The sequence below is a fragment of the Homo sapiens genome, chromosome 3 (genome assembly GCF_000001405.40).
Source record: "Homo sapiens chromosome 3, GRCh38.p14 Primary Assembly".
Classification (NCBI taxonomy): domain Eukaryota; kingdom Metazoa; phylum Chordata; class Mammalia; order Primates; family Hominidae; genus Homo; species Homo sapiens.
The window spans coordinates 121,446,353-121,468,497 of NC_000003.12; the positions used below are offsets into that span (position 1 = coordinate 121,446,353).

Below are 22,145 nucleotides of genomic sequence, written 5' to 3' on the forward strand. Positions count from 1 at the left end.
TAGTCTATCCTAGAGAATAATCCATGTGCTGAGGAGAAGAATGTGTATTGTGTGGCCATTAAATGAAATGTTCTGTAAATATCTATTAGGTCCATTTGGTCTACAGTGCAGATTTAGCATAATTTCTTTGTTGATTTTCTGTCTGGAATATCTGTCTGCTGCTCAAAGAGGGGTGTTGAAATCTCCAGTTATTATTATTGGGATCTCTCTCTCTCTCTCTTTAGCTCTAATGATATTTGCTTTATATGTCCAGGTGCTCCAATACTGGGTGCATATTACAATTCTTATATTCTCTTGCTTAATTGACTCAAAAGGAGTATTATATAATGTAAAAGACATTATATAATGACCTTCTGTCTCTTTTCATAGTTTTTGTCTTGGAATCTATTTTGTCTGATAAATAGTATAGCTACTCTTGATCTTTTTTGGTTTCCATTGGCATGGAATCTCTTTTCCATCCCTTTATTTTCAGTCTATATCTTTAGAGGTGAAATGTGTTTCCTGTAGGGAACAGATCATTGGGTCTTGTTTTTCTTTTTTTAAAAAATCTATCCAGCCACTCTATGTCTTTTTATTGGAAAGTTTAGTCCATTTACATGCAATGTTATTATTGACAGTTAAGGACAACATCATTTTGTTGTTTACTGGTTGTTCCATGGTTTTTTTTCTCTTTCTTTCCTTCATTCCTGTCTTCCTTTTAATAAAGGTGATTTTTTCTGGTGGTATGATTTAATTTCTTGCTTTTTAGTTTTTGTGTATCTGTTGTATATTTTTTTATTTGAGGTTACCATGAGACTTGCAAATAATGTCTTATAACCCTTTTTTTTTTTTTTTTTGAGAAAGAGTCTCGCCCTGTCTCCCAGGCTGGAGTGCAATGGCACAGTCTTGGCTCACTGCAACCTCCGCCTCCTGGGTTCAAGCGATTCTTTCACCTCAGCCTCCCAAGTAGCTAGGATTACAGTCACCTATCATCATGCCCGGCTAATTTTTGTATTTTTTTGTAGAGATGGAGTTTCACCATGTTGGTCTTGAACTCCTGACCTCAGGTGATCTGCCTGTCTCTGCCTCCCAAATTGCTGGGATTACAGGTGTGACCCACCGCGCCTGGCCCACTTTTTAACTTTTTTGTTGTTTATATTTATATCGTATTGTACTGCCAGTGTCTTGAAAGGCTGTTACAGTTATTTTTGATTAATATTTTTGTCTTTCTATTTAAGATAATAGTTTATATATCACAATTGCAATGTTATAATAGTCTGTGTCTCTCTGCGTACTTAATATTACCAGTGAGTTCTGTACCTTTAGGTTATTTGTTATTGCTCATTAACATCCTTTTCTTTCTAATTGTAGAACTCTTTTTGGCATTTCTTGTAGGACAACTCTGGTGTTGATGAAATCCCTCAGCTTTCATTTGTCTGAGAAAGTCTTTATTTCTCCTTCATGTTTGAAGGATATTAGTATTTTTGCCAGATATATTATTCCAGGGTAAAAGCTGTTTTTCCTTTGACACTTCATGCCACTAAAAAGTCTGCTGCCAGACATATTGAAGCTCCATTGTATATTATTTGATTATTTTATCTTGCTGTTTTTAGGATCCTTTCTTTATCCTTGACCTTTGGGAGTTTGATTGTTACATGTCTTAAGGCAGTCTTCTTTGGGTTAAATCTGTTCTATAACTTTCTTTTACTTGAATATTGATATCTTTCCCTAGGTTTGGAAAGTTCTTTATTATCCCTTTGAATACACTGTCTACTCCTATCTCCTTCTCTACTCCTCTTTAAGGCCAATAACTCTTAGAAGATTTGCCCTTTTGAAGCTATTTTCTGATGTTGCAGGTGTGCTTCATCCTTTTTAATACTTTTTTATCTCCTCTGTGAATTTCCAAATAGCCTGTCTTCAAACTCAGTAATTCTTCTGCTTGAATAATTCTGCTATATTAAGAGACTCTGATACTCTTCAGTATATCAATTGCATTTTCCTACTTCAGAATTTCTGCTTGATTCTTTTCATTTTTTATTTTATTTTATTTTTTGGGATGGAGTTTCATTCTTGACCCCCAGGCTGGAGTGCAATGGCGTGATCTCGGCTCACTGCACCTCCGCCTCCCAGGTTCAAGTGATTCTCCTGCCTCAGCCTCCGAGTAGCTGGGACTTGCAGGTGCATGCCACCACGCCCAGGTAATTTTTGTATTTTTAGTAGAGATGGGGTTTCACCATGTTGGCCAGGATGGTCTCGATCTCTTGACCTCGTGATCTGTCCACCTCAGCCTCCCAAAGTGCTGGGATTACAGACGTGAGCCACCATGCCTAGTATTGTATTGCTTGCTTCAGTACCAATACAAGGGGGATAAGGGATAAGGGACAGGGTTGATTTAAAAAGAGCATAAAAGAACTTTTTGGGATGATAGAGTAATGGTTCTATATCTTGGTTGTGGTGTAAATTTTATGACCATATGCATTTGTCAAAATTCACAGAACTATATACCTTTTTCAGGGTGAATCTAATTATTATACGTAAATTATACCACAACAAACAGGCAAAAAAGATCATTTAAGACAATACTCAAACTGCTCTATAACAGCAATTGTTCTCAGAATTCCTCGTATATTTAATTAGCAATTATCAGAGTTCCTAGTATATATACTCAATAGTTTACTGTTTCAAACTACAGCTATCTAAACCAAAGCACAAGTCAACTCCTGATTTTATGGGTTGTTCACAGTGACACAGTAGATTCACATCAACTACATTTTACTATTCTGTTCCAACTTTAATGAAAAATATGAAATAAGATTATTACATCTTAGTAAGTGATTATAAGGTTAATCTTATTTACCCTTAACAATGCCTGATGAAAACTTCTGACTAATTGATATTTCAAAAGAAAATTCCATTACACAAATTTTTAAAAATATAATATGGTAAGATGGTTGAAAAGAATACTATCTAGAAGATAAATTACCTGTGTATCTGGATTTGAAGGAGTCAATATAGCATGCAGCATCATTTTCTTTAATGCCCATCTGCTCTCCCAAAGATTTAGCTCCCATTCCATAAATGATCCCATAGCAAATCTGAAAGGGAGTCATCCAACAAATAAAGGTTATAAGTACATAAAATGCAAATAAAAGGGTTCATTAGGATGCGAATTTCGGCAAACTTTTTATTTCACAGTGAGTGAAACAATGATTAGATTGCTTTTGGTGGGTTACATCCACAGAGACTGATATCCAGCAAACATCTTTTCTGCCTTTCAGCATTACTTTTTGAGAGAGAGACAGAAGGGCAGGAGGGAGTATGAATGAATAGGTATGTGTGATCTAAGGAAAAATTTATTTTTGACTATTTGTCCTTTATCCAGCAGTCTTTATAGCAACTTTTTACTCCTCACAGAACTTCATTAACTTCCACTTCAAGTGCCTAGGAGTCAGGGAAGAGAAGCATTACCAACATCCCTCTTCTTGTCCTTGAAAAAGACTTGAAGTGTAGAAAGAGTAGGCTTTGTGACTTTATGACGAAGACTTAACTGGAAAAAAAAATCCTCCTCACCTCATAGCCACCTAAATGTCCACAACTGCAGAATTTAATTCACTTAAATACAAACAAAAACTCCTAAGAAAATTTCGGGAGTAGTGAAGGGAAATGATCTAAATAGGCAATTAAAGAAAGTCTGGTTTAATCACAAGGACGGCCGGGGTTCAAAGCCTAGATCTATCATTCACAAAATGTATCATCTTGCACAAGTCACTTAACCAATTTGTATCTTAATTTCTTCATCTACAAAATGAAGACAGTAATATCTGCATCATGGGATTGTTAGGTTTAAATGAGTTATTACTTATAACTGTTTAGGAAACTGACATAAAGCAAGCTCTGTATAAATATCATTAAATAAAATCTAAAAAGATAACTTGCATGATTATCAGAATTCCAAAAAAACTTTCAACATGATAAGCTAACTAAAGTCTACCCCCACCCCCAAGTTTTCTATTTTATTTTTTCGCTTTTTTATTATTTATTTATTTTTTTTATTATACTTTAAGTTCTAGGGTATATGTGCACAATGTGCAGGTTTGTTACATATGTATACATGTGCCATGTTGGTGTGCTGCACTCATTAACTCGTCATTTATATTAGGTGTATCTCCTAATGCTATCCCTCCCCCCTCCCCCAACCCCACAACGGGCCCCAGTGTGTGATGTTCCCTGTCCTGTGTCCAAGTGTTCTCATTATTCTTTTCTTTAATAGTGCTGAATATTGGCCCCAACTTTTTTCTGGCTTGTAGGCTTTCTGCAGAGAGAACTGGTGTTAGTCTGATGGGCTTCCCTTTGTGGGTAACCCGACCTTTCTCTCTGGCTGCCCTTAACATTTTTTCCTTCATTTCAACTTTGGTGAATCTGACAATTATGTGTCTTGGAGTTGCTCTTCTCGAGGAGTATCTTTGTGGTGTTCTCTGGATTTCCTGAATTTGAATGTTGGGCTGCCTTGCTAGATTGGGGAAGTTCTCCTGGATAATATCCTGCAGAGTGTTTTCCAACTTGGTTCCATTCTCCCGGTCACTTTCAGGTACACCAATCAGGTGTAGATTTGGTCTTTTCACATAGTCCCCTATTTCTTGGAGGCTTTGTTCGTTTCTTTTTATTCTTTTTCTCTAAACTTCTCTTCTTGCTTCATTTCATTTATTTGATCATCAATCACTGATACCCTTTCTTCCAGTTGATCGAATTGGCTACTGAAGCTTGTGCATTTGTCACGTAGTTCTTTTGCCACGGTTTTCAGCTCCATCAGGTCATTTAAGGACTTCTCTACACTGGTTATTCTAGTTAGCCATTCGTCTAATCTTTTTTCAAGGTTTTTAGCTTCTTTGCAATGGGTCCAAACTTCCTCCTTTAGCTCGGAGAAGTTTGATTGTCTGAGGCCGCCTTCTCTCAACTTGTCAAAGTTATTCTCCGTCCAGCTTTGTTCCATTGCTGGCGAGGAGCTGAGTTCCTTTGGAGTGGGAGAGGCACTCTGATTTTTAGATTTTTCAGCTTTTCTGCTCTGTTTTTTCCCCATCTTAGTGGTTTTATCTACCTTTGGTCTTTGATGATGGTGACGTACAGATGGGGTTTTGGTGTGGATGTCCTTTCTGTTTGTTAGTTTTCCTTCTAACAGTCAGGACCCTCAGGTGCAGGTCTGTTGGAGTTTGCTGGAGGTCCGCTCCAGACTCTGTTTGCCTCGGTATGAGCAGCGGAGGCTGCAGAACAGTGAATATTGCTGACCAGCAAATGTTGCTGCCTGATCGCTCCTCTGGAAGCTTTGTCTCAGAGGGGTAACTGGCCGTGTGAGGTGTCAGCCTGCTCCTACTGGGGGGTGCCTCCTAGTTAGGCTACTTGGGGGTCAGGGACCCACTTGAGGGGGCAATCTGTCCGTTCTCAGATCTCAAACTCCGTGCGGGGAGAACCACTACTCTCTTCAAAGCTGTCCGATGGGACATTTAAGTCTGCAGAGGTTTCTGCTGCCTTTTGTTTGGCTATGCCCTGCCCCCAGAGGTGGAGTCTACAGAGGCAGGCAGGCGTCCTTGAGCTGTGGTGGGCTCCACCCAGTTCGAGCTTCCTGGCCTCTTTGTTTACCTACTCAAGCCTCAGCACTGGCGGGCGCCCCTCCCCCAGCCTTGCTGCTGCCTTGCAGTTCGATCTCAGACTGCTGTGCTAGCAATGAGCGAGGCTCCATGGACATGGTAGCCTCCGAGTCATGCACAGGATATAATCTGTTGATGTGCCCTTTGCTAAGACCCTTGGAAAAGCGCAGTATTAGGGTGGGAGTGACCCGATTTTCCAGGTGCCATCTGTCACAGCTTCCCTTGGCTAGGAAAGGGAATTCCCTGACCCCTTGTGCTTCCCAGGTGAGGTGATGCCTCGCCCTGCTTCGGCTCACGCTCGGTGGGCTGCACCCACTGTCCAACAAGCCCCAGTGAGATGAACCTGGTACCTCAGTTGGAAATGCAGAAATCACCTGTCTTCTGCATAGCTTACGCTGGGAGCTGTAGACTGGAGCTGTTCCAATTCGGCCATCTTGGAACTGCCCCCCACCGCCACGTTTTTTAATGCCTTTTTCCTTTCCTTTTTTTCTTTTTCACCTTTTTTTTGTTGTTACTCCTGTTTTTTTTTTTTTTAACTCATGTTGCTTAGTGCTGTCTGAGATCTCAGCAAGGCTCAGGGATTAGGTGGTTCAGTGCATGGTGACACAAACAAAAACTGGTATAGCATAAACACTATTAAATCATGCAGGAGTCTATTAAATAGAAGCAGTTGTCTCCGGCGGATAAGTGTGTTGGATAGGAAGTCGGGTGCCCAATGCCCGCCATTGCCCAGGCTTGCTTAGGTAAACAAAGCAGCCAGGAAGCTCAAACTGAGTGGAGCCCACCACAGCTCAAGGAGGCCTGCCTGTCTCTGTAGGCTCCACCTCTGGGGGCAGGGCACAGAAAAACAAAAAGACAGCAGTAACCTCTGCAGACTTAAATGTCCCTGTCTGACAGCTTTGAAGAGAGCAGTGGTTCTCCTAGCACGCAGCTGGAGATCTGAGAACAGGCAGACTGCCTCCTCAAGTGGGTCCCTGACCCTTGACCCCCGAGCAGCCTAACTGGGAGGCACCCCCCAGTAGGGGCAGACTGACACCTCACACGGCTGGGTACTCCTCTGAGACAAAACTTCCAGAGGAACGATCAGACAGCAGCATTCGCAGTTTACGAAAATCCGCTGTTCTGCAGTCACCGCTGTTGATATCCAGGCAACCAAGGTCTGGAGTGGACATCTAGCAAACTCCAACAGACCTGCAGCTGAGGGTCCTGTCTGTTAGAAGGAAAACTAACAAACAGAAAGGACATCCACACCAAAAACCCATCTGTACATCACCATCATCAAAGACCAAAAGTAGATAAAACCACAAAGATGGGGAAAAAACAGAGCAGAAAAACTGGAAACTCTAAAAAGCAGAGCGCCTCTCCTCCTCCAAAGGAACGCAGTTCCTCACCAGCAACGGAACAAAGCTGGATGGAGAATGACTTTGACGAGTTGAGAGAAGAAGGCTTCAGACGATCAAACTACTCCGAGCTACAGGAGGAAATTCAAGCAAAAGGCAAACAAGTTAAAAACTTAGAATAAAATTTAGACAAATGTATAACTAGAATAACCAATACAGAGAAGAGCTTAAAGGAGCTGATGGAGCTGAAAGCCAAGGCTTGAGAACTACGTGAAGAATGCAGAAGCCTCAGGAGCCGATGCGATCAACTGGAAGAAAGGGTATCAGTGATGGAAGATGAAATGAAGCGAGAAGGGAAGTTTAGAGAAAAAAGAGTAAAAAGAAACGACCAAAGCCTCCAAGAAATATGAGATTATGTGAAAAGACCAAATCTATGTCTCACTGGTGTATCTGAAAGTGACAGGGAGAATGGAACCAAGTTGGAAAACACTCTGCAGGATATAATCCAGGAGAACTTCCCCAATCTAGCAAGGCAGGCCAACATTCACATTCAGGAAATCCAGAGAACGCCACAAAGATACTCCTCGAGAAGAGCAACTCCAAGACACATAATTGTCAGATTCACCAAAGTTGAAATGAAGGAAAAAATGTTAACGGCAGCCAGAGACAAAGGTCGGGTTACCCACAAAGGGAAGCCCATCAGACTAACAGCGGATCTCTCGGCAGAAACTCTACAAGCCAGAAGAGAGTGGGGGCCAATATTCAACATTCTTAAAGAAATGAATTTTCAACCCAGAATTTCATATCCAGCCAAACTAAGCTTCATTAAGTGAAGGAGAAATACAATCCTTAACAGACAAGCAAATGCTGAGAGATTTTGTCACCACCTGGCCAGCCCTAAAAGAGCTCCTGAAGGAAGCACTAAACATGGAAAGGAACAACCGGTATCAGCCACTGCAAAATCATGCCAAATTGTAAAGACCATTGAGGCTAGGAAGAAACTACATCAACTAATGAGCAAAATAACCAGTTAACATCATAATGACAGGATCAAATTCACACATAACAATATTAACTTTAAATGTAAATGGACTAAATGCTCCAATTAAAAGACACAGACTGGCAAATTGGATAAAGAGTCAAGATCCATCAGTGTGCTGTATTCAGGAGACCCATCTCACGTGCAGAGACACACATAGGCTCAAAATAAAAGGATGGAGGAAGATCTACCAAGCAAATGGAAAACAAAAAAAAGCAGGGGTTGCAATCCTAGTCTCTGATAAAACAGACTTTAAACCAACAAAGATCAAAAGAGACAAAGAAGGCCATTACATAATGGTAAAGGGATCAATTCAACAAGAAGAGCTAACTATCCTAAACATATATGTACCCAATACAGGAGCACCCAGATTCATAAAGCAAGTCCTGAGTGACCTTCAAGAGACTTAGACTCCCACACAATAATAATGGGAGACTTTAACACCCCACTATCAACATTAGACAGATCAACGAGACAGAAAGTTAACAAGGATACCCAGGAATTGAACTCAGCTCTGCACCAAGCAGATCTAATAGACATCTACAGAACTCTCCACCCCAAATCAATAGAATATACATTTTTTTCAGCAGCACACCACACCTATTCCAAAATTGACCACATAGTTGGAAGTATAGCACTCCTCAGCAAATGTAAAAGAACAGAAATTATAATAAACTGTCTCTCAGACCACAGTGCAATCAAACTAGAACTCAGGATTAAGAAACTCACTCAAAACCACTCAACTACATGGAAACTGAACAACCTGCTCCTGAATGACTACTGGGTACATAACAAAATGAAGGCAGAAATAAAGATGTTCTTTGAAACCAACGAGAACAAAGACACAACATACCAGAATCTCTGGGACACATTCAAAGCAGTGTGTAGAGGGAAATTTATAGCACTAAATGCCCACAAGAGAAAGCAGGAAAGATCCAAAATTGACACCCTAACATCACAATTAAAAGAACTAGAAAAGCAAGAGCAAACACATTCAAAAGCTAGCAGAAGGCAAGAAATAACTAAAATCAGAGCAGAACTGAAGGAAATAGAGACACAAAAAACCCTTCAAAAAATTAATGAATCCAGGAGCTGGTTTTTTGAAAGGATCAACAAAATTGATAGACTGCTAGCAAGACTAATAAAGAAGAAAAGAGAGAAGAATCAAATAGACACAAAAAAAAAAGGATAAAGGGGATATCACCACCGATCCCACAGAAATACAAACTACCATCAGAGAATACTACAAACACCTCTACGCAAATAAACTAGAAAATCTAGAAAAAATGGATAAATTCCACGACACACACACGCTCCCAAGACTAAACCAGGAAGAAGTTGAATCTCTGAATAGACCAATAACAGGCTCTGAAATTGTGGCAATAATCAATAGCTTACCAACCAAAAAGAGTCCAGGACCAGATGGATTCACAGCCAAATTCTACCAGAGTTACAAGGAGGAACTGGTACCATTCCTTCTGAAGCTATTCCAATCAATAGAAAAAGAGGAAATCCTCCCTAACTCATTTTATGAGGCCAGCATCATCCTGATACCAAAGCCTGGCAGAGACAACCAAAAAAGAGAATTTTAGTCCAAAGTCCTTGATGAACATTGATGCAAAAATCCTCAATAAAATACTGGCAAACCAAATCCAGCAGCACATCAAAAAGCTTATCCACCATGATCAAGTGGGCTTCATCCCTGGGATGCAAGGCTGGTTCAATATACACAAATCAATAAATGTAATCCAGCATATAAACAGAAACAGAGAAAAAAAACACATGATTATCTCAATAGATGCAGTAAAGGCCTTTGGCAAAATTCAACAACGCTTCATGCTAAAAACTCTCAATAAATCAGGTACTGATGGGACATATCTCAAAATAATAAGAGCTATCTATGACAAACCCACAGCCAATATCACACTGAACGGGCAAAAACTGGAAGCATTCCCTGTGAAAACTGGCACAAGACAGGGATGCCCTCTCTCACCACTCCTATTCAACATAGTGTTGGAAGATCTGGCCAGGGCAATCAGGCAGGAGAAGGAAATAAAGGGTATTCAATTAGGAAAAGAGGAAGTCAAATTGTCCCTGTTTGCAGATGACATGACTGTATATCCAGAAAACCCCATTGTCTCAGCCCAAAATCTCCTTAAGCTCATGAGCAACTTCAGCAAAGTCTCAGGATACAAAATCAATGTACAAAAATCACAAGCATTCTTATACACCAATAACAGACAAACAGAGAGCCAAATCATGAGTGAACTCCCATTCACAATTGCTTCAAAGAGAATAAAATACCTAGGAATCCAACTTACAAGGGATGTGAAGGACCTCTTCAAGGAGAACTACAAACCACTGCTCAAGGAAATAAAAGAGGATACAAAGAAATGGAAGAACATTCCATGCTCATAGGTAGGAAGAATCAATATCGTGAAAATGGCCATACTGCCCAAGGTAATTTGTAGATTCAATGCCATCCCCATCAAACTACCAATGACTTTCTTCACAGAATTGGAAAAATCTACTTTAAAGTTCATATGGAACCAAAAAAGAGCCTGCATCGCCAAGTCAATCCTAAGCAAAAAGAACAAAGCTGGAGGCATCAAGCTACCTGACTTCAAACTATACTACAAGGCTACAGTAACCAAAACAGCATGGTACTGGTACCAAAACAGAAATGTAGATCAATGGAACAGAACAGAGCCCTCAGAAATAACGCCGCATATCTACAACTATCTGATCTTTGACAAACCTGAGAAAAACAAGCAATGGGGAAAGGATTCCCTATTTAATAAATGGTGCTGGGAAAACTGGCTAGCCATATGTAGAAACCTGAAACTGGATCCCTTCCTTACACCTTATACAAAAATTAATTCAAGATGGATTAAAGACTTACTTGTTAAACCTAAAACCATAAAAACCCTAGAAGAAAACCTAGGCAATACCATTCAGGACATAGGCATGGGCAAGGACTTCATGTCTAAAACACCAAAAGCAATGGCAACAAAAGCCAAAATTGACAAATGGGATCTAATTAAACTAACGAGCTTCTGCACAGCAAAAGAAGCTACCATCAGAGTGAACAGGCAACCTACAGAATGGGAGAAAATTTTCGCAACCTACTCATCTGACAAAGGGCTAATATCCAGAATCTACAATGAACTCAAACAAACTTACAAGAAAAAAACAAACAACCCCATCAAAAAGTTGGCGAAGGACATAAACAGACACTTCTCAAAAGAAGACATTTATGTAGCCAAAAGACACATGAAAAAATGCTCATCATCACTGGCCATCAGAGAAATGCAAATCAAAACCACAATGAGATACCATCTCATACCAGTTAGAATGGCAATCATTAAAACGTCAGGAAACAACAGGTGCTGGAGAGGATGTGGAGAAATAGGAACACTTTTACACTGTTGGTGGGACTGTAAACTAGTTCAACCATTGTGGAAGTCAGTGTGGCGATTCCTCAGGGATCTAGTACTAGAAATACCATTTGACCCAGCCATCCCATTACTGGGTATATACCCAAAGGACTATAAATCATGCTGCTATAAAGATACATGCACACGTATGTTTATTGCGGCACTATTCACAAGAGCAAAGACTTGGAACCAACCCAAATGTCCAACAATGATAGACTAGATTAAGAAAATGTGGCACATATACACCATGGAATACTACGCAGCCATAAAAAATGATGAGTTCATGTCCTTTGTAGGGACATGGATGAAATTGGAAATCATCATTCTCAGTAAACTATCGCAAGAACAAAAAACCAAACACCGCATGTTCTCACTCATAGGTGGGAATTGAACAATGAGAACACATGGACACAGGAAGGGGAACATCACACTCTGGGGACTGTTGTGTGGTGGGGGAATGGGGGAGGGATAGCATTAGGAGATATACCTAATGCTAAATGACGAGTTAATGGGTGCAGCACACCAGCATGGCACATGTATACATATGTAACTAACCTGCACATTGTGCACATGTACCCTAAAACTTAAAGTATAATAATAATAAAATAAAAATAAATAAATAAATAAATAAAAGGAAGTCGGGTGCCCAAGTTCTGGCATTCTGAATTTATTCTTGGTCTACCACTTATAGCTGCATGACCTTAAGCAAATTACTTTCTGTGCTTCAGTTTCCTCCTCTATAAAATGGTGATAGTAATAATAATAGCTATCTCATGGGTTATGAGAATTAAATATGGGAATATTATCTATTTTACCTAGGGTTTGATTCTTGCTAAATGCAGAACCTCTCCAGGGATTAAACAGACAGAGAGGACAGAGCTGGCTTTTTAAATAGTGGAAGAAACAAGTGTTGGTGCTAAACAGGTGGTTAGAGAAAGTGTTCCATGCTTGATGAGCCAGTCAAGAAGTACAGCTGTGAGGCTGGGTGCAGTGGCTCATGCCTACGATCCCAGCACTTCGGGAGGCCAAGTTGGAAGTATCACTTGACGCCAGGAGTTGAAGACCACCCTGGGCGACAAATTGAGACCTCACCTCTCCACACACACACACAAAAACTACAACTGTGAGGAACTAGAAATGTAAATGCGAAACAAAAACAGCAGGATCTCAGAGTACGGTGGTGTGCATTTACCTCAGCTAGCAATCCTACTGTCTTGCAAATGGCATCAGATTTCCCACGGGTCATGTGGTAAGAAAGTATCAGTGTTAACCCAGGCCAAGGAATGGTATAAATGTGGCCTCTGACTTACTCTTTGCCTAATAGTTATCCAGAGTAGAAACTAACATGGATCCATTTCAAAGTTACAAAGGCAGCATGAAGTTTCATAGGTAGATTACTAACCAATAACTTCAACGGCTAAAAAGCTATCAGGTACTAACTATAATCTACAGGTCAGCAATATTTTTTCAACAAACATTTAGAGACCACCTTCTGTACAAAGCACTATGGCTTGATGCTATAAAAGATATAAAAATGAAAATATGGAACTTTACCTCAGAACACTTACAGACTAGAAAGATTTTTTTTTTTTTTTTTTTTTTTGTTTTTCGAGATGGAGTCTTGCTCTTTCACCCAGGCTGGAGTGCAGTGGCGCTATCTCGGCTCACTGCAAGCTCCGCCTCCTGGGTTCACGCCATTCTCCTGCCTCAGCCTCCCAAGTAGCTGGGACTACAGGCACCCACCACCACGGCCAGCTAAGTTTTTGTATTTTTAGTAGAGACGGGGTTTCACTGTGTTAGCCAGGATAGTCTTGATCTCCTGACCTCATGATCCGCCCGCCTCAGCCTCCCAAAGTGCTGGGATTACAGGCGTGAGCCACCGCGCCCGGCCTGGAAAGATGTTTTTTAAGTATACATATGTGCACACATGCGGGTGTGTACGAACACACGCACTCTGACCACCACTACCACCATGACATCTAGTGAGTACCAGGCACTGTGACTAGCCATATAATGGCTTTAAATGCATATGGTTTTCCTGACACGAAGTAGCCTCAGATCTCAGTCTTTTTGGTTCTTCCTACTGCCTCCACAAAAGAAAATATAATGAATACCATGAGATAAGCTCAGATGAACTGTGCTTTGAAAGATCCAAAGTTGGAGAAACTGTTTCTCAGCTGCAAATAATTGAGACCATTTTTAATTTTTTTTGAGTCACTAAATTCTTCTCCTTTATATTAACCATGTTCACTAAAATCACCTGTTTTGCCTGCTGCCTCAGATCATCCCCAACAGACTCTGGCTCAATCATCTTCCACTCTGCTGCAATGCTCCTGAAAACATCAGCTCCAGTGTTTAACACTTGAATGAGACGACGATCATGGGATAAATGAGCCAAGATCCTCAGTTCAAGCTGAGAGTAGTCAGCAGCCAGTATTGAACCACCTGAAGTAGAAGTGATTTCAGAAAAGCTAGTACAAAGTTTCTATATCACACAATCCAAGTTCTATATCATATAATTGAGCAGGATGACAAAAATTTTGTTCTAACTTAGAACTTTGAAATCACATGTCAAAAGTTAAAACCTTCCTCTTAATATGATGGAATTCAGCTCTGTATCTTAGGTCATTTTTTTCCATGTAGCTTTCAAGTATATATAATATGGGTAAAGCCACCCTGACATCTGCCCACCGTGGAGTGTGTTCCTCAGTGTTCCTACAGCACCTGGCACATAATCCAAAATGGTGCTTTCATGCCTCTCTTATTTTGCTCTGAGTACTTAAGAATAGGAAGCTTAATTTTCCTTTTCATTCTACAGAAAAGCTTGCACAGTTGCTGATAGATAATAGGCCCTTAACAAATGCTTGTTGAATGAATTAATTAATGAAAAAACTGGTGTCCAATGTGTGCAAATGTTAAGTGGGCTGGAGAGAAATGTGTGCCCTGATTTGACAATAACAAAGTCATTCAGTGAAAAAAATCAAGTGGTCAACAGGTGAGCAAGTTATTAAAACGATTAAAATAATTTACCTATAGATTAGAAATGGGTGGATTAGATATGCATGACAAAACAAAAACAAAGTTAAAAAAATAAAAGCAGGGTCAAAGAAAAATTAGAAAAATATTTGCAACTGATCTCACAAAAGACTCATTGCCCTTTCATAAGAAGAGTTGTTACTTGTGGAGGAAAAGACAAACTATAAATAAGAAGTTCAGACATAATAAAAACAAAAGAACCTTAAACATATTAAAGAATGCTCAGCTTCATAAGAGAAATAAAAAATCTATGGCAAGAAACAATTTTTCTTCACCTGTATTGCAAAAATTACAAAAGTTGGACAACACTCTGTGACAAGGCTGAGGAGAAAAACACTCGTACATTGTTACTGAGAAGTAAAATGGAATCTCCTCCCCATTCGCTGGCAATTTAACAGTGTCTATCGAAATTAAACAGGTTTTTACTCTATGACTCAGCAAACAAGCCCACAGACTGCTGCACAGACTACCTGAACATAGTTTAAACTGGTTTTTGTTTAAATGTCCTTATTGATAAGCACAAATCTCTAGTATAGAAACATTACAGCCAGGCACAGTGTCTCATGCCTGTAATCCTAGCACTTTGGGAGGCCAAGGCAGGCAGATGACGAGGTCAGGAGATCGAGACCATCCTGGCCAACATGGTGAAACTCTGTCTCTACTAAAAATACAAAAATTAGCTGGGAGTGGTGGAGCATGCCTGTAATCCCAGCTAGTCGGGAGGCTGACGCTGGAGAATTGCTTGAACCAGGGAGTTGGAGGTTGCAGTGAGCTGAGATCCCACCGCTGTACTCCAGCCTGGTGACAGAGTGAGACTCCGTCTCAAAAAAAAAAAAAAAGAAAGAAAAAGAAACATTACATGAAAAAAGCAAGGTACACAATAATGTATACAGAATGCTAATTTTGTGTAAAAATAGGAAAAGATTATATACCCATATTTGCTTATATCTGCATAAAGAAATACTGTCAAAATACATAAAAGGCCTCATACATGTAGTAATCTATAAGAATTGGGAAGGATAGTGTAGATGACAGGGAAGGAAGCAAAGCTTCCCAATACACATCTTTTATATCATGTTGATTTCTGAACTATGTTAATGAATAACCTATTCAAAAACAGAGATAAATACTAATTTAAAATACAGGTTGAGCATCCCTAATCCAAAATTCCAAAATCCAATATGCTCCAAAATCCAAAACTTTTGAGCACCAACGAGATGCTCAAACGTCACGCTCACTGGGGCATTTCAGATAATGGATTTTTGGATTAGAAATGTTCAATTGGTAAATATTCTAAATAGTGTAAATATTCTAAAATCAAAATCTAAAACACTTCTAGTCCCAAGCATTTCACACAAGGGATACTCAAACTGTAAATGGCCACAACTTTGGTGGACTTCCTACCACAGACAACCACAAAATTGGACAAATTATATGGGAAAAAAAAAATGGTTCTCAGATGTTAGACAACAAGCCATGCAGAACTATAATCACTGAGAATGGAAGAAAATGAGGTGAGCCACACAAAGGTCTCAGGGATCTGAATGGAGGCATTTTCCAGAATCTGTAGCAGGGAAAGGGAGCTGAAGCACAGCGCTGTATCTGTCTCTGAACTAAGGAAACACAGTCTAGAGTTTGGGGCTTTGAGGCAGCTGGAATTTGGAGAGAAAAGAGTTGTGCATAAAAGGAGCACCAGAAATACACACAGGAATTCCCTTGGATTTTTGACCAAATATTAAGTTGTGCAGGGGGAAAGTGCAGGGCGCCAAAGAACAGACACTGAAGAAATAAATATTACTAAAGGAAGAACAAATACTGCATAGCTTTCAGCTGAACAACTACTTCAACAACATATTCTTGAATGCTGAGAAATGATCAAGCTGTAACAAACAAGACTGAGAAGAGATCTTGTTAAACAACTTTAGCACCAAGTAGACTCCAGAAAGGCCACACCTTATGAACAGGAATAACCTAGCCCTAGAGTGCAGGCTACTCTAAACATTTGTTAGCAAAGCTTTAAAAGCCTCAAAATGACCAAGCTGATGTGAAAGTAAATTGTCTGACAAAAGAAAACCTTATATTCTATTAGTGAAGACTACAAAATCCAAAGATTCAACAAGGTGGCAACCATAACGTCCGCATACTAGCAGCAATGCTTCAATATTTGTTTAATTTAGTGTTCATTGTGGCTTTGTAGAATGCAACTACCATGAATAACAAGAATCAATCACATTTTACAAAAAGCAAAAGATCTTCAAATAACACACCTGATAAGGTTTGGCTATGTCTCCATCCAAACCTCACCTTGAATTGTAACAAAACTCACATGTCAAGAGGTCAGGTGAAGATAAATGAATCATGGGGGTGGTTTCCCCCATACTGTTCTCATGGTAGTGAGTCCGTCTCACGAGATCTGATGGTTTTATAAATGGGAGTTCCCCTGCATAAGCTCTTGCCAGCCACCATATAAGATGTCAAGATGTCCCTTTGCTTCTCCTTCATCTTCCACCATGATTGTGAGGCCTCCCCAGCAATGTGGAACTGTGAGTCCATCAAACCTCCTTCCTTTATAAATCACCCAGTCTCAGGTAGGTCTTTATTAGCAGCATGACAACGGACTAATACACCACCAAACAATTACCTATAGATTCTATAGGTAACCTAACAGTATGATAGATCAATCAAATTGCAAGTGTTTCTTTTTTGGCTTTGGATAAATTGTCCCATAACAGAGAAACTGCTTAATTAATATTCTGAATAGGCTTTGTCTCAGTGGACTTCCAAATTTATAAAGAAAACACCATTCTTAGCTTACAAAATCAAACCAGTGGCATAGATATTTTGGAATCTTTTACATTTGTCAAAGAAGAATTTTAAGTAGATATGAAAAAATTAGTTTTCATCATATAGACAATGCTCTAGCTTTGTCATTAAAAACTTCTTTTTTTTAGATTTTTAAACAGGAGAATGATGTTTCCCTATTTCTTCATTCCACTATATATATAAAAAAGATTTATGTTTAGTTTTCTAAATCAGACCATCAAAAGTGTTACAATACAGTTAAAATTATTTTATGTATGTGTACAAATGCTGAGTCATCACCAACTTAAGAACTGTTGAAAATTTCCAACAATGAATTTAACAATCTTGTATACTCTGTCAAAGCTCCTTGTTTGATTCATGAGAGTCCTACAAAGATTAACTGTACTCCAGTTCAATATTTTCTTGAAACAAAAGAACATTTGCCAAGTATTCAGTAATCAAAGACAAAAAGAACAATGTGGTTTATGTTTTTTGACTGATATCACACAGCATATATTTGAGGCTCCAAGAAAGCGAAAAATGTACTTCTGACCTAGCTAGACAGGTAAGAGAATGTATTTGGAAATGAAAACTTTTCATAAAACAAATTAATAATGGGCTGGGTGCAGTGGCTCACACCTGTAATCCCAATAATTTGGGAAGCCAAGGCTGGAGGATCACTCCTGGAGGAGCCCAGGAGTTCCAGACCAGCCTGGGTAACATAGTGGGACCCCCATCTCTACCAAAAACAACAACAACAACAACAATAATAATAATAATTTTATGCATTTTTAAAGCATAAATCAATATGCAGTATAGTTTAATTACAATCAACATGTTATATAAACTGAAAATATTAAAAATTTTTAAAAATGCTCTGATGTTGATGAATTTAGAGTCGCTTTTTTATTTAAGTAATACTCCTTTGAATTTGACATACTGTAGGTACAGCATCCCTAATCTGAAAATTCAAAATCCAAACTGTTCTAAAATCTAAAACTTTCTGAGCACTGACATAATGCCACAAGTGGAAAGTTCCACAACCGACCTCTTGTAACAGGTCAAAGTTATAACTTTGTTTCATGAACAAAATTTAAAATATTGTATAAATTACCTTTAGGCTATGTCTATAAGATGTATATGAAACATAAATTTCACATTATGACTTGGATCCCATCCCCAAGACATCACATTATGTATACACAAATATTCCAAAATCTGAAATACTTTTGGTCCCAAGGATTTGAGATAAAGGATACTTAACTTGTAATAATGAGTAACATAAGAATTAGTAAATTTACTTAACTTGTATAGACATTGTTTTGTAATGGATGTTTCTGCTTCAAAGTCAAATTAATACTTCTAAAAAAAGATGAACCAGCTTTGTCAATCAGATGCAATTTTTTAAAAAATGAGTTTCTGGTACTCAATTCAGTTACTGGAAATGTTTTTTTTCTTTTTTCTTTTTTTTTTTTTTGACATAGGGTCTTGCTTTTTCGCCTAGGCTGGAGTGCAGTGGCATGATCATGGCTCACTGCAGCCCCAACCTCCAGGGCTCAAGTGACATGATATTCCCACCACAGCGTCCTGAGTAGCTGGGACTACAGGTGCGCACCACCATGCCTAGCTAATTTTTTGACTTTCTGTAAAGATGGGGTCTCCCTTTGTTGCCCAGGCTGGTCATGAAGTCCTGGACTCAAGCGATCTTCCTGCTTCAGCCTCCCAAAGTGCTGGGATTACAGGTGTGAGCCACCATGCCTTGTGAGAAATACTTTTGAGTATGTTTGAAACAACTTGGGCGTGTGATCTACTTTTTCAAAACATAAGTTTTATAAAATCAAGCATACCTTGCTTTATTGGACTTGACTTTATTATGCCTCACAGATATTGCAGGTTTTTTTCTTAAAGAAATTAAAGGTTTTTGGCAACTCTGAGTGGAGCAAGTGTTTCAGCACCATTTTTCCAACAGCATGTGCTCACTCTGGCACATTTTATTAATAGTGATGCTCACATTATTTCAAACCCTCTCATTATTATCTGTTATGGTGATCTTTGATATTACTATTATTACAATCCATGAACCACACTCATGTAAGAGTGAACTTCATTGATCAATTTTGTGTGTGTTCTAACTACTCCACTGACTGGCTGTTCCCCCACCTTTCTCCCATCTCTCTCAGAACTCCCTATTCCCTGAGATACAATATTAAAATTAGGCCAATTAATCACCCTACAATGGCAATGGCCTCTAAGTGTTCAAGTGAAAGGGAAAGTCGCATCTCTCTCACGTTAAACCAAAAAGCTAGAAACGATTAAGCTTATGAGGAAGGCATGTCAAAAGCTGAGATAGGTTGAAAGCTAGGCCTCTTGTGCCATACAGTTAGCCAAGTTGTGAATGCAAAGGAAAAGTTCTTGAAGGAAATTAAAAGTGTTACTACGCTGAACACACAAATGATAAGAAGGCAAAACAGGCTTATTGCTAATATGGAGAAAATTTAAGTGGTCTGGATAAAAAAAATGAAACCAGCCACAACATTCTCTTAAGCCAAAGTCTAATCCAGAGCAAGGAGACTCTGATGTACTATTCAGTATGTCAATTGCATTTTCCTACTCCAGAATTTCTATGAAGGCTGAGAGGGGTGAGGAAGCTGCAAGGAAAAAAAAAAAAAAACTGATTCATGAGTTTTAAGAAAACTCTGTTGCACTTCAGCCTGGGCGAGAGTGAGACTCCGTCTCAAAAAAAAAAAAAAAAAAAGAAAGAAAGAAATTACCATACACCTTAGCCAGGCGCAGTGGCTCACGCCTGTAATCCCAGCACTTTGGGAAGCCGAGGCAGGCGGATCACCTGAAGTTGGGAGTTCGAGACCAGCCTGACCAACGTGGAGAAACCCTGTCTCTACTAAAAATACAAAATTAGCCAGGCATGGTGGCCCATGCTTGTAATCCCAGCTACTCGGGAAGCTGAGGCAGGAGAATCACTTGAACCTGGGAGGCAGAGGTTGCGCTGAGCCGAGATCACGCCATTGCACTCCAGCCTGGGCAACAAGAGGGAAACTCCATCTCGAAAAAAAAAAAAAAAATTACCATACACCACATAGACTTTCTGGGGACTCCCTTGGATAACTTTGATAGAATTGTGTATGCTGATAGTTTAGACATAAGTAAAACTAAAAATTGCCAAGCAGGACATGTCATCATAGGTCTGAATTCACCATTGGCATATAAGTTTCTGATGGAATTTAAATAAATTCAGATGGTTAATTGTACTCACTAGGACTTGCTAGCTGGTGAAAGATTAAAGAACAAATATGTATACTAACAGTTGGAATGATCTGCAAGTTACATCATAACTTCCAAATGTCTTGACAACAAAAGGTTTATGACTAGAGTATTGAGGAGGGGTCAGGCAGAATGAGAATAGCCTTAGGGGCCACCCCATGCAATAGGAAGCAGCAGTGCAGAAAAAGAGAGAAAAAACATAAAAGCAAACAAGTTAGAAGGAGAGAAAAACTGCCCTTAGAGGTCAAGGGAGAAGAGAAATTGAAGAAGGAGTTGATTAACAGTGACAAATGCTGTAAACAAGTTAAAGAGGATGAAGACTGACAAAACCAACTGGACTTTGCAAAGAGGTTTACAATGACGTTAGAAAACATGGTTTCAGCAGACTGCTGCTGCTGAGCACACACCATAAAAGTTTCCCACAGAGCAGATCATGGAGATGATGACTGCTATAAACCTGGCATGACAAAGGAGAAAGGCAGGCTCCACCGTAGACAGAAAGATGGAGGGACCAATGCATGCTCTAAGTCTCACTCATATTTCAGGCTTTATCCATGCTTTGAAAAACATTCTCACAGCAATGAGAAGCTTCAAAGCTATCAGCCACCTTACCTGGGAAAGGCACAAAGGCATGTCGCATGCTAATTGAAAATGGCATTCCTCTGTCTGCAGCTCTCTCCTCCATCTGTGCCTGGCATCTAGGATTCACGCTGAAACCCTTCTTATATTTTCCTCTGTGGTGCAAACAACATCATCAGTTAGACATGAAGCAGTCTCAAATATATGAAAAAGGTCTGATTTTCAGTAACATCAGTATTTCCGTCTAAGAAACTTAATAAAAACCTTACTGAGGGCTGGGTGTGGTAGCTCACACCTGTAATACCAGCACTTTGGGAAGCCGAGGCGAGTAGATTGCTTGAGCCCAGGAGTTCGGGTCTAGTTAGGGCAACAAAGTGAGACCCTTGTCTCTACAAAAACTAGCTAGGCATGGTGGCACACGCCTGTGGTCCCAGCTACTCAGGAGGCTGAGGTGGGAGGATTGCTCGAGCCCAGGAGGTGGAGGTTGCAGTAAGCTGAGATCGCACCACTGCACTCCAGCCTGGGCAAGAGAGCAAGACTCCGTCTCAAAAAAACAAACAAACAAAGAAAACCAAATCTTTATCTGAGACTCACTTTAAAGCTTAACAAAGATACTAGAACTTTTTTTAGCAAACATTGAATTAAACATGAATTAGCTTCTTTATAGATGGGACTCAGGATTCAAAACGGTCTAGGACAGAAATGGGTATGTCTGAAACATAAAATTAAATTAATTTCATTTATTTGTCTAATAAGCTATTTTGAGCCATTCATACTTACAAAAGTTTATTAATACAGATACAGAGAAACAGCACCTACCTGCCCATGGGAAGTAGGCCTTTGCCTACAGCTTGAGAAGGTGGGCTTTCTCCTACTAGTGTTGGCATTTTGATTTCAAAATCTCTTGGCACATTCTGAATATTTGGTTCTGTAAAGGTTATTCGTCCTAAAATCAAGCAGAATAAAGACATAAAATCAGGAAAAAAAATCTAGTATTTGTCTTAACAGTATT

General features: G+C 39.5%; 1 protein-coding gene across 1 annotated transcript in view, besides 1 other annotated feature; it reads right to left on the bottom strand.

The window, feature by feature from the left end:
* Nucleotides 1-22,145, bottom strand: part of POLQ (DNA polymerase theta) — a 114,558-nt gene that overhangs the window by 14,922 nt on the left and 77,491 nt on the right. The window contains exons 23-26 of the mRNA NM_199420.4: nt 21,953-22,079; nt 21,167-21,288; nt 13,698-13,882; nt 2,963-3,074 (exon numbers count right to left, since the gene is read on the bottom strand). Coding sequence (NP_955452.3) covers nt 2,963-3,074; nt 13,698-13,882; nt 21,167-21,288; nt 21,953-22,079 — 546 coding nt within the window. The remainder of the gene's footprint in view (nt 1-2,962; nt 3,075-13,697; nt 13,883-21,166; nt 21,289-21,952; nt 22,080-22,145) is intronic.
* Nucleotides 5,340-5,841: an enhancer, noted in NCBI's record as "H3K27ac hESC enhancer chr3:121170539-121171040 (GRCh37/hg19 assembly coordinates)". NCBI's record gives its function as "activates a minimal SCP1, AML or CMV promoter by ChIP-STARR-seq in primed H9 embryonic stem cells {active_cell/tissue: H9 hESC(primed)}" and the evidence as "EXISTENCE:reporter gene assay evidence [ECO:0000049][PMID:30033119]".